We start from the raw sequence: 17,262 nt of genomic DNA, 5'->3' as shown, positions 1-17,262 counted from the left end.
TTTGTGATCCACCTGCCTCCCAAAGTGCTGGTATTATAGGTGTGAGCCACCGTGCCCGGCTGCTGTCTTAGTCTTTTGGGGCTACTATAATAAAACACCCTAGAGTGGGTCATTTATAAACAAGAGAAATTTATTGCTCACATTTCTGGAGGCTGGGAAGTCCAAGATCAAGACACCAACAGATTCAGTGTCTGGTGAGGGCTGCTGTCTGCTTCAAAGACAGTGCTTTCTCTCTCTATTCCCACATGGTAGAAGAGGCCTGGGAAGCTCTCTTGAGCCTCTTTTATAAGGGCACCAATTCCATTCATGAGGGTGGAGCCCTCATGATTTAATCATTCCCCCAAAGCCCCACGTCTGAATACTATCACATTGGGTATCAGGTTCCAATGTATGGATTTTGGGGTGATACCAACATTCAGACCATAGCAGTTGCTAATGGGGTCTCAGCACTCCCTGACCTTGTGTGCATACCACATGCACTCACTATTCACTATTATTTTATGAAAGTTGCCAGAATCAAAATGGAGTCACTTGGCCCAGAGCGGTGGGTCACACCTATAATCCCAGCACTTTGGGAGGTTGAGGTGGGCGGATCACTTGAGCCCAGGAGGAGGCTAAGCCTGCAGTAAGCCCTGATCACGCCACTGCACTCCAGCCTGGGCAACAGAGGCAAACCCTGTCTCAAAAAAAACAAAAAACGCCAGGCGCGGTGGGTCACATCTGTAATCCCAGCACTTTGGGAGGCTGAGGCAGGTGGATCATGAGGTCAGGAGATCTAGACTATCCTGGCTAACACGGTGAAACCCCATCTCTACTAAAAATACAAAAAGAAAATTCACCGGGCGTGGTGGCGGGTGCCTGTAGTCCCAGCTACTCGGGAGGCTGAAGCAGGAGAATGGTGTGAACCCAGGAGGCAGAGCTTGCAGTGAGCCGAGATCGTGCCACTGCACTCCAGCCTGGGCGACAGAGCAAGACTCCATCTCAAAAAAAAAAAAAAAAAAAAAAAAAACAGCCATACCAAACAGAGGTCACTAGTATTTAAAAAAAAAACAAGGCTGGGTGTGGTGGCTCATACTTGCAATCCCAGCACTTCAGGAGGCTGAGGTGGGAGGATTGCTTGAGCCCAGGAGTTCAAGACCAGCCTGGGCAACATGGCAAGACCCTGTCTCTACAAAAAATTATAAAATTACCCAGGCATGGTGGTGCACACCTGTAATCCCAGCTGCTCAGGAGGCTAAGGGGGAGGATCACTTGAGCCCAGGCAGTAGAGGTTACAGTGAGCCGAGATCGTGCCACTGCACTCCAGCCTGGGCGACAGAGTGAGACCCTATCTCCAAAAAAAAAAATTAATCAATTAATTTTAATAATTTATTTTAGCACAAATTACCTAGAACTTAGCAGCTTAATTAATTAATTAACTTAAAAAAAAAAACCCTGACAGTACGGTCAGGGAAGGATATGAAGAGAGAATTGTTATGCTTATATGCCTCCTAAGAAAAATAATCACAGGCCAGGCATGGTGGCTCACGCCTGTAATTTCAGCACTTTGGGAGTCTGAGGCAGGTGGATTACTTGAGGTCAGGAGTTCAAGATTAGCCTGGCCAAAATGGTGAAACCCCGTCTCTACTAAAAATACAAAAAAAAAAAAAATTAGCCAGGTGTAGTGCCACACACCTGTAGTCCCAGCTACTTGGGAGGCTGAGGCAGGAGAATCACTTGAACCCAAGTGAGCCAAGATCGTGCCATCACACTCCAGCCTGGGTGACAAGAGTGAAACTCCATCTCAAAAAAAAAAAGAGAAAAAGAAAAACAATCACAGGTCGGGCACAGTGGCTCACACATGTTATCCCAGCACTTTGGGAGGCCAAGGCAGGAGGATCACTTGAGGTCAGGAGTTCGAAACCAGCCTGGCCAACATGGCGAAACCCTGTCTCCACCAAAAATACAAAAATTAGCCAGGCACGGTCGCACACGCCTGTAATACCAGCTACTCGGGAGGCTGATGCAGGAGAATCGCTTGAACCCAGGAGGTGGAGGTTGCAGTGAGCCGAGATTACACCACTGTACTCCAGCCTGGGCGACAGAGCCAGACTCTGTCTCAAAAAAAAAAAAAAAAAGAAAAGAAAAGAAAAACAATCACAAACGACTATAAAAACCACAACCTGCAACCTTCCACACAAAAAAAGAAAAAATTAATTAATTAAAAAAAATAAAAATACTTCTGTGAGGGAATCTGCCCAGCAACTGCCTGGCTAACCCCAGACTGGTGTCACCTGATCTCTGTAGCCAAGCATAATTATTTCAAAACAATTATATAATCCTCCTCATTTTTTCCCTTTGAAAACATTTGTCTTCATTTACCTCCCTGAATACACACTGGTTTCTATAGCATGTGTATTCCCATTGCGATGTTCTATTCCCAAATAAACGTCATTTTCTTTTAAAGAGCCTCTCTGTTATTTAGGTTGACACCTTAAAGGGAAAACAGTGTTTGGGATGGAGTGAACTGAAATTATACCTTTCCTCCCCCCAAGGGAAGAATCAAGCATCATTCAATATTGGCTAATGTGGAAAATGCTTCGAAATGGGCAAGAGATGCCAGGCGCAATGGCTCATGCCTGTAATCCCAGCACTTTGGGAGGCCAAGGCAGGTGGATCATTTGAGGTCAGGAGTTCAAGACCAGCCGGGCCAACATGGTGACACCCCATCTCTACTAAAAATACAAAAAATTAGCCAGGCATGGCGGTGTGCATGCCTGTAGTCCCAGCTACTCATGAGGCTGAGGCAGGAGAATCACTTGTACCTGGGAGGCAGGGGTTGCAATGAGCTGAGATTGTGCCACTGCACTCTGCATGGGTGACAGAGCGAAACTCCATCTCAGAAAAAAAAAAAAAAAAGGCAAGAGAGAGGAAGATGACCCCATATTATTTTAAAAGAAGCCAGGTCAAAGTCATGTGAATAAAAGGAATACAAATTTGTTTGGTATGAGACGTGGCAGAGGTGGATTGGGATGAAGTGGCAAGAGGATCCCCTCACAAAGAAGTTAGACCCTCTATGGAAGTGTGTTTGGTTTCAAGAAGTGTTAGAAGGAAAACCAGGCACAGCCACAGGGAAGCTTCCTGTCACAGTACTCCCCCTCCCAGCAGCAGATAGGCCACAGGCTGCCCCTCTGCAGAGATCTCAGCTGACCCCAGGAGAAAGCCACCAGGATCAGAGAAGAGAGGTGGCTGTGAAATTCCCAAGACACAAGAAGGGATCAAGACTGGAGGGGGTGGGGAAACTGACTAGAAAGTCTTCAAGGTAGGAGACCATGAGAGCTCAGATCAGGAGAAGGGGTAGAAAGGCGGGACCTCCTCTGCAGCCTCCACCTTGAGGCCCAACCCCTTGTCAAGAGACAGGGATGAGGGGGTGGAGCAAATCGGGCCCAGTTTCTACCTTCCCCCACCTTGAAATCCTCCCAGCTTTCTAAGGTTTTAGGATATTGATCTATGTGAAAAACAGCCGATTCAATGTGACGCAGTTTGTGGGCAGTGGGTAAAGAGGGACCTGGCCCAGTGAGGAGTAGCTGCCCTCCAACCAAAGAGTCAGAAAAAAAAAAAAAAAGTCAGTTTTGAACACACCTAGTTTAAGGAACTTGTGAGTCGACCAGAGGGAGATGTCCTAGAGGCAGGAAGAAGGCCTGAGCTGGAGGTTTGGGGGCTATAAGCATATGGATGGAAGTGAATGAGGTCATCCCAAAAAAGTGTGCAGAGTAAAGAGAGGGTCTGTGGCAGACCTGGAGGACACCAGTATTTCAGGCTGTCCTAGCCCAATCAGCCAAGACCACCAAGGAACAAACCCATGGTTTGATGAAGTCAGGTTTCTTGTCCCCTTGTAATGAGACAGACAGCACACTGGAGAAACCAAGGAGTGTCCCACTAAGCACAAAGGAAGATAGTTTTACAGGGTTTGGGAGGGGGTGGAGATGAGGTGAAATTTAAATGAAGCAATATTTTGATAGGCTCAAAGCAAAGCAGAACTGTGTATAAAGGGGCTGGCATCAGTTCTGGACTGCCACAGGACCTACAGTCCTGTTTCTTTGGAAAAAATAAGATAGATGTAGAATATTGTGTTCAAAACTTCCTTACCTGGATCTCTGTACCTGCATTATAAACCCTGTCTATTTAGTGACTTAGATCTTCCAAGCAAGTGTTTTTCTTTTTCTTTTTCTTTTTTTTTTTTTTTTTTGAGCTGGAGTTTCACTCTGTCACCAAGGCTGGAGTACAGTGGCATGATCTCAGCTCACTGCAACCTCTGTCTCCCGGGTTCAAGCAGTTCTCCTGCCTCAGCCTCGAGTAGCTGGGACTATAGGCACGTGTCACCATGCCCAGCTAATTTTTGTATTTTTAGTAGAGACAGGGTTTCGCTATGTTGGCCAGGCTGGTCTCGAACTCCTGACCTCGAGTGACCTGCCCATCTCAGCCTCCCCAAAGTGCTGGGATTACAGGCATGAGCCACAGCACCCGGCCTCATTCTTATTCATATAATTTTTAAAAAATTGTTTTTTTTTTTGAGACAGAGTCTCACTCTGTTGCCCAGGCCAGAGTGCAGAGTGCAGTGGCACAATCTCGGCTCACTGCAACCTCCACCTCCCAGGCTCAAGCGATTCTCCTGCCTCAGCCTCCTAAGTAGCTGGGATTACAGGTGTGCACCACCATGCCTGACTAATTTTTGTATTTTTGGTAGAGACAAGTTTTCGCCATGTTGGCCAGGCTGGTCTCGAACTCCTGGCCTCGAGTGATCCCCATGCCTTGGCCTCTGAAAGTGTTGGGATTACAAGCGTGAGCCACTGCACCCGGCCTATTAATACAATTTTGTAAACCAAAAAGTACCTGAGACAGGTCTCTATCAGTTTAGAGATTTATTTTACCATGGTTGAGGACAAACCTGGGAAAGAGACAACAGCCACAGTAGAATCTGTGGCCCATACTTTTTTTCCAAAGAGGAGTTTGAGACCAGGTGGGGTGGTTCACGCCTGTAATCCCAGCACTTTGGGAGGCAAGGCAGGAGGATCCCTTGAACTCAAGAGTTTGAGACCAGCCTGGGCAACATGGCGTAACCCTGTCTCTACAAAAATCACAAAAAATTAGGCTGGGCGCGGTGGCTCACACCTGCAATTCCAGCACTTTGGGAGGCCAAGGCAGGGGGATCACCTGAGGTCAGGAGTTTGAGACCAGCCTGGCCACCATGGTGAAACCCCATCTCTACTAAAAATACAAAAATTAGGCCAGGCATGATGGCTCACGCCTGTAATCCCAGCACTTTGGGAGGCCGAGGTGGGTGGATCATGAGATCGGGAGTTCGTGACCAGCCTGACCAACAGCGTGAAACCTCGTCTCTAAAAAAATACAAAAAAAAAAATTGCTGGGCATGGTGGTGAGCACCTGTAATCCCAGCTACTCAGGAGGCTGAGGCGGGAGAATCTCTTGAACCCAGGAGGCAGAGGTTGCAGTGAGCCAAGATCACGACACTGCACTCCAGCCTGAGCGACAGAGCAAGACTCCTTCTCAAAAAAAAAAAAAAAATTAGCTGGGCGTGTTGGTGTGCGCCTGTAATCTCAGCTACTTGGGAGGCTGAAGTAGAAGAATCCCTTGAACCTGGCAGGCGGAGGTTGCAGTGAGCCAAGATCGTTGCAGTGAGCCACTGCACTCCAGCCAGGGTGACAGAATAAGACTCCATCTAAAAAAAAAAAAAAAAAAGGCAAAACATAATTAAAGTGAGAATTAAAAAAAAATTAGCCAGGTGTAGTGGTGTGTGCCTATAAACACAGCTACTCAGGAGGTTGAGGTGGGAGAATAGATTGAGCCCAGGAGGTCCAGGCTGCAGTGAACAATGGTCTTGCCTCCAGCCTGGGTGACAGAATGAGACCCTGTCTCAAAAAAACAAAAACAAGGCCGGGCACAGTGGCTCACACCTGTAATCCCAGCACTTTGGGAGGCCGAGGTGGGCGGATCACACGGTCAGGAGATCGAGACCATCCTGGCTAACACGGTGAAACCCCATCTCTACTAAAAAAATACAAAAAAAAAAATTAGCCCGGCGTGGTGGCGGGTGCCTGTAGACCCAGCTACTCAGGAGGCTGAGGCAGGAGAATGGCATGAACCCGGGAGGCGGAGCTGGCAGTGAGCCCCAGATCATGCCACTGCACTCCAGCCTAGATGACAGAGCAAGTCTCCGTCTCAAAAAAAAAAACAAAAAACAAAAAAAAAACCACAAACGAACAGCCCCTGCCCTCCCCCCAAAAAAGACAAACTGCATCTCACACACAGGTGACCCCTGTGAATACAGTCTCTGAGGAGTGATGGAAGAGGAAGCCCTGTGAGAGGTGCAGACTGCTACCCTCTAGAACACCAGGATGCCTAAATAGTAGAGGGCAGTTTCATTAGCGACATCAGTTTGCAAACTGAAAAGAGACACTCTCCTGTAGGTACCAAAGGTGCTCTCTCTTTGTATAGGGAAAAGGCAGGCTGGTTGTTTTTTGTTTTTGTTTTTTGAGACGGAGTCTCGCTCAGTCGCCCAGGCTGGAATGCAGTGGTGCGATCTCGGCTCACTGCAACCTCCACCTCCCAGGTTCATGCCATTCTCCTGCCTCAGCCTCCCGAGTAGCTGGGACTACAGGCGCCCGCCACCACACCCAGCTAATTTTTTTGTATTTTTAGTAGAGACGGGGTTTCACCATGTTAGCCAGGATGGTCTCAATCTTCTGACCTCGTGATCCGCCCGTCTTGGCCTCCCAAAGTGCTGGGATTACAGGCGTGAGCCACCACTCCCGGCCTAGGCTGGTTTATGACTCACAGGGTCTGTATTTCACAATAATCATACATATTCAGCAGGTTTTGGGGAAAAGCTATACATATTTATGAGGGGATGTGAGTGCATGCACAATGGGTAAACACCTGTAACATATGTTCCATGTTCACTTTGGGATGGGGTTTTTGCGTTAAAGTGAGGTGGAATTTGGTTCTTTGCATCATAAGGTGGACTATAGGACACAAACACAGTTTGCGTGCAGTCTCTATGAGCTTGCTGAAACTGGCCTGAGGTCTGCAGTTACTTATCAGGAAAGAATGTTTGTAAGGCCTGTCCTCTGTCGATCAGCGTTGTAGTGGTCTGAGTTGTAAATCTCAGTAAAGAAGAGTCTGACAATTTGCATGATAGCTCCTATTGCTAGGGGTTTAGTAAGAGTGTGGTTTTTCTGGCAGCAGTAGAAATTTAAGAAGTTGCCATGCCAGCTGACAGCTGAGCCCTGAGGTAGGCAACGTTTGTTTCCTTAACCTTAACCTTAAGGTCCATCGTAGTTGATAAAAAGGCATCTGGCCAGGCCTGATGGCTCACGCCTATAATCCCAGCACTTTGGGAGGGTGAGGCGGGAGGCCAGCAGTTCTGGGGCCACTGCACTCCAGCCTGACAGACAGAGACCCTGTCTCAAAAAATAAATAAATAAAAAAGATAAAGGGGCATTTGTCTTGATCGCTCAGATCACACAACTAATAAGTAGCATTCTTTCTAAAAGCCGCAACAATGCTACTCCTCTCTTATAAGAGCTACTGTGTAACTCCTGCCCAACTCAAACCCACAGGCCCAGGCTCAGAACACTTGGCTCCATTGCTTCACTGTTTCCCTGCTAGCACGAACCCCCCAAACTCCATCTCCCAACATGCCGCGGGCCCCCTTTCTGTCAGCCTGACTCTTGAGCTCCTGAGAAATGTAGTTTTTCCAGCGGCCCAGCCCCAGAAAGGTCCTAGCCAAGAACTACAGTTCCCATGTGGCAATGCGCGCGCCATTCCGGTGGAATTCACCGCGGTCTCCAGTTTGCCATGATGGATGCCAGAACCTGCACGTGGGGCTTGGTGACGCGATGACTGAGATGCTGGAGTCCCCGGTCAGAAGGACGATGCCGAGCGCGCCGTATTTTCTCCTGCCTCTCCTCAGATCGCCGCCGTTGTTGGGCTGTGGAGACGTCTCAACCAAAGTGGAGCCGACAGAGGCCCCGGGAGCCGTGGTGACAGAGCGGCCACAACCACTAGGGGGCGGGAGGCAGAGCGGCCCCTAGTCCGCCCCTAGTCCGGGACCTCTGGGCGGTCCCGGGCGGGAAGCGCACGCGCAAACGCGGGGCTTCGCGGCCGCTGTAAACACCAAAGAGCGCCTGCGCAAGCCGAGAGTCTCGGGATCGACACGTGGGGGCGCCTGAGCGAAGATAACCGTAATAAATAGTAACCTAACGGTCCAGTCATCGTTCTGTGGTCCTTTCTTTTATGATTCACAAGGAATGACCCTCTTCATCGCCTCTCCTAATTCAGTCCTCACAACAGTCCTTTTACAAATGGGACAACAGGTTAGAGGAAGTCAGGCAGATTTCCAGCATCATAGAGAGTAAAGGACCAGGGAAGGATCAGGATTCAAGGACTGCACCCAGGCTCTGCTTCCAGCTTGCTGTGTGACTTTGGGTAATTTTGTTCCCTTAGGGAACTGAGCTTTCTCATTTGTAAATGCAAACAGGCTGTTGGGAGGATCAAATGAGATCCAGGGGTGAAAACAGCTTAGTTTACTTTCAGGAATTTACCCACGCGGTATATAAAGGCAAAATATTATTATAGTCAGGTGATTGTAGATTGAGGAACCCATTTCCTCATTCTGCAAATTGCAAACCTGAGGGCCCAAAGAGGGACAGGGGCTTGCCCCAGGTCTCAGCAGGCTGTGAGCAAGAGCTAAAGCCTAATCCTCCTGCCTTTGGGCCTGGAGCCCTTCCTTGTACCCCAGGGGTCAGTGTCTTTGTTGGATACAGGCTTAGATTGACTGACTGTACCCTGAGAACCTAGGGGAGTCCCTGTTCCCAATTCTTCTCCTACCCCCACCTTGGCCTGATGGAGGAAGACCCTGCTGTGTTGAGATGAGCACCAGAGCCAAGAAGCTGAGGAGGATCTGGAGAATTCTGGAGGAAGAGGAGAGTGTTGCTGGAGCTGTACAGACCCTGCTTCTCAGGTCAGTGGCCCAAGTAAGGGAAAGAACCCAGGTGTGACAGATGAGGGGGCAGCACTAAGGGGACAGACTCTGAATGGAAAGGAGTGGGAAGGCAGTGGACACTGTTTCTGAGCTTGGGAGGAATTGGGTACTCAGGTAACTCCATCTGGGGGCAGTGGAGCTGGAGGTGATACCTGGGCTGGCCTGGCTGATGAGAAGGGGAAGTGATGCGCATTGAGCTGAGGTCTAGGAGCCACTCCCCAGCCAGGTGAAGCGAGGTGGCACCTAGGCACACCATGGCACCTGCAGGATCATGCAGCTAACCCCAGGGAAGGGGACTTTTCTCTGACCCTTGGAGCGGTGGAGCTGGGCTGTATGCAGCTGATTCTCTCTAGAGTGCTCTTAGAGGTTTTGGGGGTAGGTTGGGGGAAGGGCTGGGAGACCCTGAGGTCTCATTACAGATTGGGCCTCCCCAGGCAAGTCATGAAAGGCAGGTATATGTAGAAATAGAAATCCAAGATCCTTCAAGATATCCCAGATAGGCCAGGCACGGTGGCTCACGCCTGTAATCTCAGCACTTTGGGAGGCTGAGGCGAGCGGATCACCTGAGGTTGGGGGTTGAGATCAGCCTGACCAAAGTGGAGAAACTCCATCTCTACTAAAAATACAAAAAAAAAAATTAACCGGGCGTTGTGGCGGGCACCTGTAGTCCCAGCTACTCGGGAGGCTGGGGCAGGAGAATGGCGTGAACCCGGGAGACGGAGCTTGCGGTGAGCCGAGATGGCGCCACTGTACTCCAGCCTGGCTGACAGAGTAAGACTCTGTCTCAAAAAAAAAAAAAAAAAAAAAAAAAATTAGCCAGGTGTGGTGGTGTATGCCGGTAGTCCCAGCTACTCGGGAGGCTGAGGCAGAAGAATCGCTTGAACCCAGGAGGCGGAGGTTGTCGTGGGCCGAGATGGTGCCATTGCACTCCAGCCTGGGCAACAAGAACGAAACTCCGTCTCAAAACAAAACAAAACAAAACAAAACACAACAACAAAAAGGTATCCAAGATAATTCAATGGAATTATCTGGAGGTGGATCTTGGATTCACCTCCAAGCATTTAATTATCTGGGCCTTCACTTATCATTTCTGTTTTTCAGCCAGAGAAACTGAGGCTAAAGAAGGAAAAGGACCTCTTTTTTTTTTTTTGAGACGGAATTTCACTCTTGTTGCCCAGGCTGGAGTGCAAGGGTGCGATCTTGGCTCACTGCAACCTCCGCCTCCTGGGTTTAAGCAATTCTCCTGCCTCAGCCTGCCAAGTAGCTGGGATTACAGGTGCCCACTACCATGCCTGGCTAATTTTTTGTATTTTTAGTAGAGACACGGTTTCACCATGTTGGCCAGGCTGGTCTCAAACTCCTGACCTCAGGTGATCCATTCGCGGCCTCCCAAAGTGCTGGGATTATGGGCATGAGTCACCACGCCCGGCCAGAAAAGGACTCTATTAAGGACACACAAGGAGTTGGGGTAGAACTGGACTACGACAGGGATCTTTCCATTACATGGCAGTAGTCAAACATCTTCATCAAACATTTATTTAGTGTCTAATGTATACTCCGAGAAGGACTACCTTGGGGTAGCAAATAGAAGCCAGGATTGCCCTCAGACCTGGCTTTTAACCAGCCCTCCCAGTGATTTAAGACTGTGACCCCAGGTGAGTCCCTGCCCCTCTCTGAGCCTCAAATTGTCTGTAAAGTGGGGATGCTAAGCCTTGGGACTGTCTCAATGTTTACCTATAAATTAAATGAGTTAAGACCTGTTATCAAGGTTTACCTATAAATTAAATGAGTTAAGACCTGTTAAGTGCATAGACCAGCACCAGGCCCGTGGTAAGCATTCAGTAACTGTTAGCCACTGTTGTTACTTGTGAACACAGGTCGAGGCAGGCCGCAGATGGGGTTCTCCAAAAGTCAATGCAGGGGCAGAGAAGCAGCAGCCCCAGGTCTGACCATCTCTAGATACCTCCACACCCTGCCCTGGGTGCCTGCATTTCTGAAAGTCAAGGGAGGACCCATGTCCCCATCTCCTCCTCCAGTTCTGGGAAGCTGGCAGGGGAGAAATGTCTCGAGTGTTTACACCTGCACATGCACATGATTCTCTTCCCCACAACCTGAGGCCAAGAGTGAAGATGGTTTTTACTCAAAGCTACACATTACAGCCCTGGACAGTCAGACCAGAACAAGATCCTGGGCTCTTTCTGGCCCTTTCAGGGTGTGGGGTTGTGCATGAGCTTCCTCCCTGCATGGCAGAAGTCCATGAATGCTAACAGCAGGTTCTTGGTCCTCGTTTCCCCTCATGGAGCAGGGGCTGGGGGAAGAGGGGCGCCTGGGTGGGAGACAGGGCCTGACATCAGATACCCCCCCGGCCCACCTTGTTAGTAGTTGGAGGCCTGGCCCTGTGCTCACTTTAGCTCTGTTTCAAGCTTCCCTAATGGAAGTCTGGTTCAAACTCCTTATTTATAGAGGAGGAAAGAGAATCCCAGAGAGGCCAGAACTCACTGAGAGCCCCACGGCGAGGTAAGCGTGAGTCTGGTCCAGAACTCAAGCCTCCTGACTTCAGGTGAGGGCTCTGCCCACAGCCACATGGGAGGGGGCAGGGCTTGATTCCACCTCTCCTCCCCCCACTACCCTCATAGTCATGCTTGGAGCCAGCTCCCAATGTAGCCACCTGGGTGGGCTGTGGTTTGCAGGGAGGGTTGGGAAGATGGAGAGGTAAGGGAAGGAGAGTACAGGGCCCAGTCGGGAGAAACCCAGGGCCGGTCTGGGGCGAGTGGGGCCGAGAGCTCTCCTTGGTGTGCGTGTGGCTGCTGCAGGATTGTGGGGCCTTCATCAGTCTGAGGCAGCAGAGGATGCAGATCCTGTGGGAGCACATTCCTGGAGGAGGGGAGCAAAGCAGGCTCAGAGGAGTGAGTCACGGAGCCCAAGCCCTAAATTTAGAAGGTGCTGAAAGAGGCAGTCTTCCCCCGGGAAGCCTGTGGAGATACCTGCTGACCCAGAACACCAGGGACTCACGGCAGGGAGCAGTGGTTGGCAGGAGTCCCCAGATAGCAGTGCCCATGGAAGCTGAGCCTGCTGCAGGCCTGTTCCAGGTGTGGGTTTGGAACCTAGGGTGAACCTTGACCCAGGGCAGAGCCTTCAGCCCCATTCTCAGACAGAGCCCCTAGAGAATTCCACCCACACCAGTCCTCACGCGGTCCTGGGAGCCAGCCCCTGGAATGTGGACCTCTCAGTGCCATGCTGCCCTCTGGCTAGACATGGCCAGACCCCCTGTGCCTCACTGCTGTCCCAGCATGCAGCTGTCAGACATTGAGGAGGGGCTGTGTGGGTGCAAGGAGCAAATGCCATTGACACCAGGCCTTTCGCAGCTCTGCTTGGATTGGGGGTGAGGGAGGGGGACAAGATGTCATTTCAGCTACCTCTCTTCCCTCTCAACCCTCCAGGCTCTAGGTTAACCCCACTCAGGAGAAAGAAATCATTGCCTCCAGACTGAGGAACAAAGATGTAGGACAGAGGCCAGGCCTCGGAGACAGATGCCAGACCTGGCGGAAGGAAGCTCAGGAACTGAGAACTGATAGTAGCTGTGGCAGTTATTGAGCACTCACTGTGTGCCAGGCACTGTGCTAAGCACTCCACGGGATTAACTCACTTCATCCTCATTGTCATGACAGAAATTCTATTAGTCCACCCAACTTAGATGGAACAACTGAGGCCAGACACAATGGCTCACACCTATAATCCCAGCACTTTGGGAGGCCAAGGCAGGAGGATTGCTTGAGGCCAGAAGTTCGAGACCAGCCTGGGGAGACCCCATCTCTACAAAAAATTACAAAGTTAGCTGGGCGTGGCAGTGCACACCTGTGGTCCCAGCTACTCAGGAGGCTGACGAGAGAGGACCACTTGAGTCCCAGATTTCAAGGCTGTAGTGTGCTATGATTGCACCACTGTACTCCAGTCTGGGCAACAGAGCAAGATCCTATCTTTTAAAAAAAAATGGGCTGGGAGCAGGGGCTCACGCCTGTAATCCCAGCACTTTAGGAGGCTGAGGCAGGCAGATCACGAGGTCAGGAGTTTGAGACCAGCCTGGCCAACATAGTGAAACCTCATCTCTACTAAAAATACAAAAATTAGCCGGGCGTGGTGGCGCATGCCTGTAGTCCCAGCTACTTGGGAGGCTGAGGCAGGAGAATCACTTGAATCTGGGAGGTGGTGGTGAGCTGAGATCGTGCTACTGCACTCCAGCCTGGGCAACAGAGTGAGACGCCATCTAAAAAAAAAAAAAGGCTGAATTTCAGATAAGCAACAAATACATTTTTACTATAAGTACATCCCAAATATTTGCTAAATCTGGTAATCTTACACCCAAGGCACTGCCTCACCCACATTGAGAAACCTTGCAGTGCGACACAGCCACACCCCAGCTCCCACATAGGCCTCAGTCACTCGTGCTCCTGGAGAATGTGCACACCAGCACCGAGGTGACAGAGGTCTGTAGGTTGTCACTCACACACGGCTCTGCACACCCTCTCTAGGGAGGGGCACTGGGCACAGTAGGTGCCTTTCACACTTGGTCTCACCTTCGTAACCCCTTCAGGCAGAAGGTCAGGCAGGGACCATTAGTGCCATCGGACAGATAAGGAAAATAAGGCCCAGTGAGAGAAGACCCTACCCCAAATGTCCCAGCGTATGGTCCCTGGGTATGGAAGCTGGTCTATACCTGAGGCCATGCTATCTCCCTGGGTAGGTCCAGGATCCCCAAGCAGGCCCACAGCACTCAGGCCACAAAGCCTCCCAGAGGAGCCCCTTCCCTCAGGAACAGTAACAGTCTAGGCTATGTTTTGGGGCTGCCCCCCCCAAACCTCTCCTATCACCCAAACGGTGTCCCTGAGCCCTCCCCAGAGTCCCCACCAGTTCCAGGAGGTGGAAACTGTACTGAGTCAGGACACTGAGGCCCCAACTTTGAGATAAAAAAGAAGAAGAAACCAAAAGAAGGAAGTTGTGTGGGTTGCCAGAAAAGAAGCTGTGGTCCCAGGGCTGGAGTTCTTGCCCACCTTGGTGGAGGAAGGCCTAGACAACCTTGTCCTTCCTGAAGACACAAGACACCGATGCCCCCACCCCCACCCAGCCTGAGCACAGAGCTGAAGGGAGGGCCTGGGGTCAGGCAGATGGATCAGGCGCCTCTGACAGGAAACTCCCGGGCTTTTGGAAGGACGCATCGACCCCGCAATCGAACTGAGTTCCTGGCAGGCGCCAGTGTCCAATAGACATCGACAGCGGGAGGACCCAGCAGGCAGAGCGGGGTGTGGCCATCTGGGCCTGGGAACCCTCCGGAAGGAGAATCCACCTGGTTCTGTTTCAGGCCCTGCCCACCTGGGACAAGCCTCTGGCCCTCTCTAGGCCTGTTCTCCTGTCAAGAGGCCTCCCCACCTGCTGGGGATTCTGTCAACTCTGAAGTCCTGTATGGTGGTGGCGGTAGGGATTGCAGCTAGACTTCTCCCTCCCCTGAGCCTAGGGGAGGCAACGGCCCCTGCGAGGCCCAGAGGGCAGCTCCCAGGGTTCAGAGGTGCAGGGATCAGAGGATGGGGTGGGGAGAAGGCTGGAAGAGGAAGCAGGACAGATGCCACAAAGTTCCCTGCTCAGTGGTCTTGTATAATGGCTTGGCCAGGCCATCTGGGTTGAAACTGCTTACTTAGTGGTGTGTGGTCTAGAACAAGTTACTTAGCCTCTCTGTGTCTCAGCTGTCCCATTTCCTTTTTTTTTTTTTTTTTTTTTGGACACAGGGTCTCTCTCTGTCACCCAGGCTAGAGTGCAGTAGTACGATCATAGCTCACTGCAGCCTCGAACTCCTGGGCTCAAGTGATCCTCTCACCTCAGGCTCCTACTTAGTAGCTGGGACTACCAGCATGTGCCACCATGCCCAGCTAAGTTTTACATTTTTTTGTAGAGATGGCGTCTCACTATGTTCCCTAAGCTGGTCTCCAACTCCTGGCCTCAAGCAGTCTTCCCACCTTAGCATCTCAAAGCACTGGAATTATAGGTGTGATTACAGGTGTGAGCCACTGCACCTGGCTGTCGTCCTGTATTTTATCTGGCAACTCCACTTTGGTGCCATGTGTGGCCTGGCATGATCAAGTGTGTGTAGCTGTGTAGGTCTGGCCCTGTGTAATACCAAGGTGGAGTGTTTCTGTATGGGACTGTGACAGGACATTAGGAGAAGTGCAGGTGGGGGTGACCCTGACCTGCACTGACTTTGAGGCTGCGCACTACAGTGTGGCTCCCTGAGGCTCCAGCAGCTCCCTAAGGGCAGGTGTGAGCTGTTTGCTCAGTGAGGCCCAGCAAGGTATGAGACCCACCCTGGGCAAACACTTAGATCCGGCTCCAGGTGGGACTGGGATGGAACACCTATCGCCACTGTGAAGGACACATCCCTCTCAAGGCCGAGCCAGCCCTGGGGGCCTCAGAGTTCTTGGTGCTGAACCTTTTTTTTCCTTTTTTTTTTTAACTGGAGACAGAGTCTTGCTCTGTCACCCAGGCTGGAGTGCTGTGGCAACATCTCAGCTCACTGCAGCCTTGATCTCCCGGGCTCAAGCCATCCTCTTGCCTCAGCCTTCTGACTAGCTGAGACCTCAGGTGTGCACCACCACGCCCAGCTAATTTTTAAATTTTTAGTAGAGACGGGGTTTCACCATGTTACCCAGCCAGGTCTTGAGCTCTTAGCCTCATGCAGTCTGCCTGCTTTGGCTTCTCTAAGTGCTGGGATTACAGGTGTGAGCCACCGCGCCCGGCCTGCTGCACCCTGAGGGTCTCTGGAACTCCTCCTCCATGTCACTGCTTCCTGGTGACATCACACAGGTCACTGCCTAATCTTCTAGAACAGTGCCAGGACACTGCCTTGTTGCCCTGCACAACCTGTGAATTTGCTCCATCAAAACTGGCAGGCAGGGTTACCCCTGAGGAGGGGGTGGGGGAGAAGGGGTAGGGGTGGGACCCTATCATCTCCCAGAGGGGAGATCAAGGCAGCCATCATCTGTCGAACTAGATGGTGAGTAGGGGTGGGCATCCTGGAGCAAGGCTAGACTTTCAGGCCCCTCACTGTCCAGGACACTGGGCAGGTTGGGGGCCACCGAGGGAGGCTGACTCTTGAGGCTGAGAGAGGGCAGTGACCGTGTTAAGGTCACCGGCAGGCAAGTGGAAGGTGTGGTATGTAATACGGGGTGGGAGGAACAGGACCCTCAGGTTAGGAGCTGAGAGGCCCAGGTTCTTATTCCCTTTTTTTTTTTTTTTTTTTTTTTTTTTGAGACAGAGCCTCGCCCTGTCACCCAGGCTGGAGTGCAGTGGCCCAATCTCTGCTCACTGCAACCTCCGCCTCCCAGGTTCAAGCGATTTTCCTGCCTCAGCCTCCCGAGTAGGCTCCCAGGTGCGTGCCACCACACCTGGCTAATTGTTGTATTTTTAGTAGAGATGGGGTTTCACCATGTTGGCCAGGCTGGTCTTGAACTCCTGACCTCAGGTGATCCACCCGTATCGGCCTCCCAAAGTGCTGGGATTACAGGTGTTAGCCACCACACCCGGCCCCTAGGTTCTTATTTCTGCTTTGTCCCTGCTAGTAGGATCTTTGTTTCTCTATCTGTACAGGGAGGGGGTGGGGCCAGATGCCCTTAGTCTGAGGGGTCTTTAGTTCTGCTGTGGGGAGTTGAGGGGAGTGTTAGGGACCAGGTCATGGGGTGGCTGGCTCCAGGCAGGTGCCCTGACCCCTCCCCCAACAGCCATCAGGGGGTAGTGAACAAAAAGTCTGGTGTGACTCTTTCCAAGTGCTCCCTTCCCCGGTTGCAGGAGTCTAGATCAATCCTGAGTTACTGGAGTCCCCTTAGGGCTTCTGACTTGCTGTGTGATGCAGGGGTGCCCCGTGCCCCCCACAACCTCAGCTGCTCTGTCTGCGAGGGGCACGTGTGAGATCCAGGCCTGCCCAGTGCCCTGTGTAATGATGCCTCACATTCCCACGCCGCTTCTCAGTTTGTCAAGCGCCTTCTCGTACACAGTCTCACCTTCTATGCCCACTCTGGCTCCTGCTCCGTGATGCCCCATTCTGGAACTGGGACCCAGAGAGCAGCCAGACCTGGACTCTGGCCTCGGGGCTCAGAGAGACATCTCAATTCACTTCCTGTGGAGGGGACCATATCTGGGGCAGGGGACTGCAGTGGGCAGAGCAGGGGTCATGCTTT

The 17,262-nt window shown here is 51.4% G+C and overlaps 1 protein-coding gene across 1 annotated transcript in view, besides 7 other annotated features; it reads left to right on the top strand.

Moving 5' to 3' along the window:
• Positions 2,978-3,715: an enhancer, noted in NCBI's record as "H3K27ac hESC enhancer chr11:72509227-72509964 (GRCh37/hg19 assembly coordinates)". NCBI's record gives its function as "activates a minimal SCP1, AML or CMV promoter by ChIP-STARR-seq in primed H9 embryonic stem cells {active_cell/tissue: H9 hESC(primed)}" and the evidence as "EXISTENCE:reporter gene assay evidence [ECO:0000049][PMID:30033119]".
• Positions 7,525-8,094: an enhancer, noted in NCBI's record as "active region_5206". NCBI's record gives its function as "activates an Ori minimal core promoter by ATAC-STARR-seq in GM12878 lymphoblastoid cells {active_cell/tissue: GM12878}" and the evidence as "EXISTENCE:reporter gene assay evidence [ECO:0000049][PMID:35858748]".
• STARD10 (StAR related lipid transfer domain containing 10) overlaps positions 7,850-17,262 on the top strand; it is a 39,319-nt gene continuing 29,906 nt past the window's right edge. The window contains exon 1 of the mRNA NM_006645.3: positions 7,850-9,022. The gene's annotated coding sequence lies outside the window, so the exon portion shown is untranslated. The remainder of the gene's footprint in view (positions 9,023-17,262) is intronic.
• Positions 9,226-9,725: an enhancer, noted in NCBI's record as "H3K4me1 hESC enhancer chr11:72503217-72503716 (GRCh37/hg19 assembly coordinates)". NCBI's record gives its function as "activates a minimal SCP1, AML or CMV promoter by ChIP-STARR-seq in naive H9 embryonic stem cells {active_cell/tissue: H9 hESC(naive)}" and the evidence as "EXISTENCE:reporter gene assay evidence [ECO:0000049][PMID:30033119]".
• Positions 13,809-14,805: an enhancer, noted in NCBI's record as "H3K4me1 hESC enhancer chr11:72498137-72499133 (GRCh37/hg19 assembly coordinates)". NCBI's record gives its function as "activates a minimal SCP1, AML or CMV promoter by ChIP-STARR-seq in primed H9 embryonic stem cells {active_cell/tissue: H9 hESC(primed)}" and the evidence as "EXISTENCE:reporter gene assay evidence [ECO:0000049][PMID:30033119]".
• Positions 14,027-14,146: an enhancer, noted in NCBI's record as "active region_5205". NCBI's record gives its function as "activates an Ori minimal core promoter by ATAC-STARR-seq in GM12878 lymphoblastoid cells {active_cell/tissue: GM12878}" and the evidence as "EXISTENCE:reporter gene assay evidence [ECO:0000049][PMID:35858748]".
• Positions 14,806-15,804: an enhancer, noted in NCBI's record as "H3K4me1 hESC enhancer chr11:72497138-72498136 (GRCh37/hg19 assembly coordinates)". NCBI's record gives its function as "activates a minimal SCP1, AML or CMV promoter by ChIP-STARR-seq in primed H9 embryonic stem cells {active_cell/tissue: H9 hESC(primed)}" and the evidence as "EXISTENCE:reporter gene assay evidence [ECO:0000049][PMID:30033119]".
• Positions 15,101-15,436: a silencer, noted in NCBI's record as "fragment chr11:72497506-72497841 (GRCh37/hg19 assembly coordinates)". NCBI's record gives its function as "represses an EF-1alpha promoter that drives an FKBP-Casp9 reporter gene in an ReSE screen in HepG2 liver carcinoma cells and phorbol 12-myristate 13-acetate-treated (for megakaryocytic differentiation) K562 erythroleukemia cells {active_cell/tissue: HepG2 | K562(+PMA)}" and the evidence as "EXISTENCE:reporter gene assay evidence [ECO:0000049][PMID:32094911]".

Source organism: Homo sapiens, chromosome 11 (genome assembly GCF_000001405.40).
Source record: "Homo sapiens chromosome 11, GRCh38.p14 Primary Assembly".
NCBI lineage: Eukaryota > Metazoa > Chordata > Mammalia > Primates > Hominidae > Homo > Homo sapiens.
The sequence above is the reverse complement of the archived record's forward strand: the minus strand, read 5'-3'. Positions and strand labels throughout refer to the sequence as shown.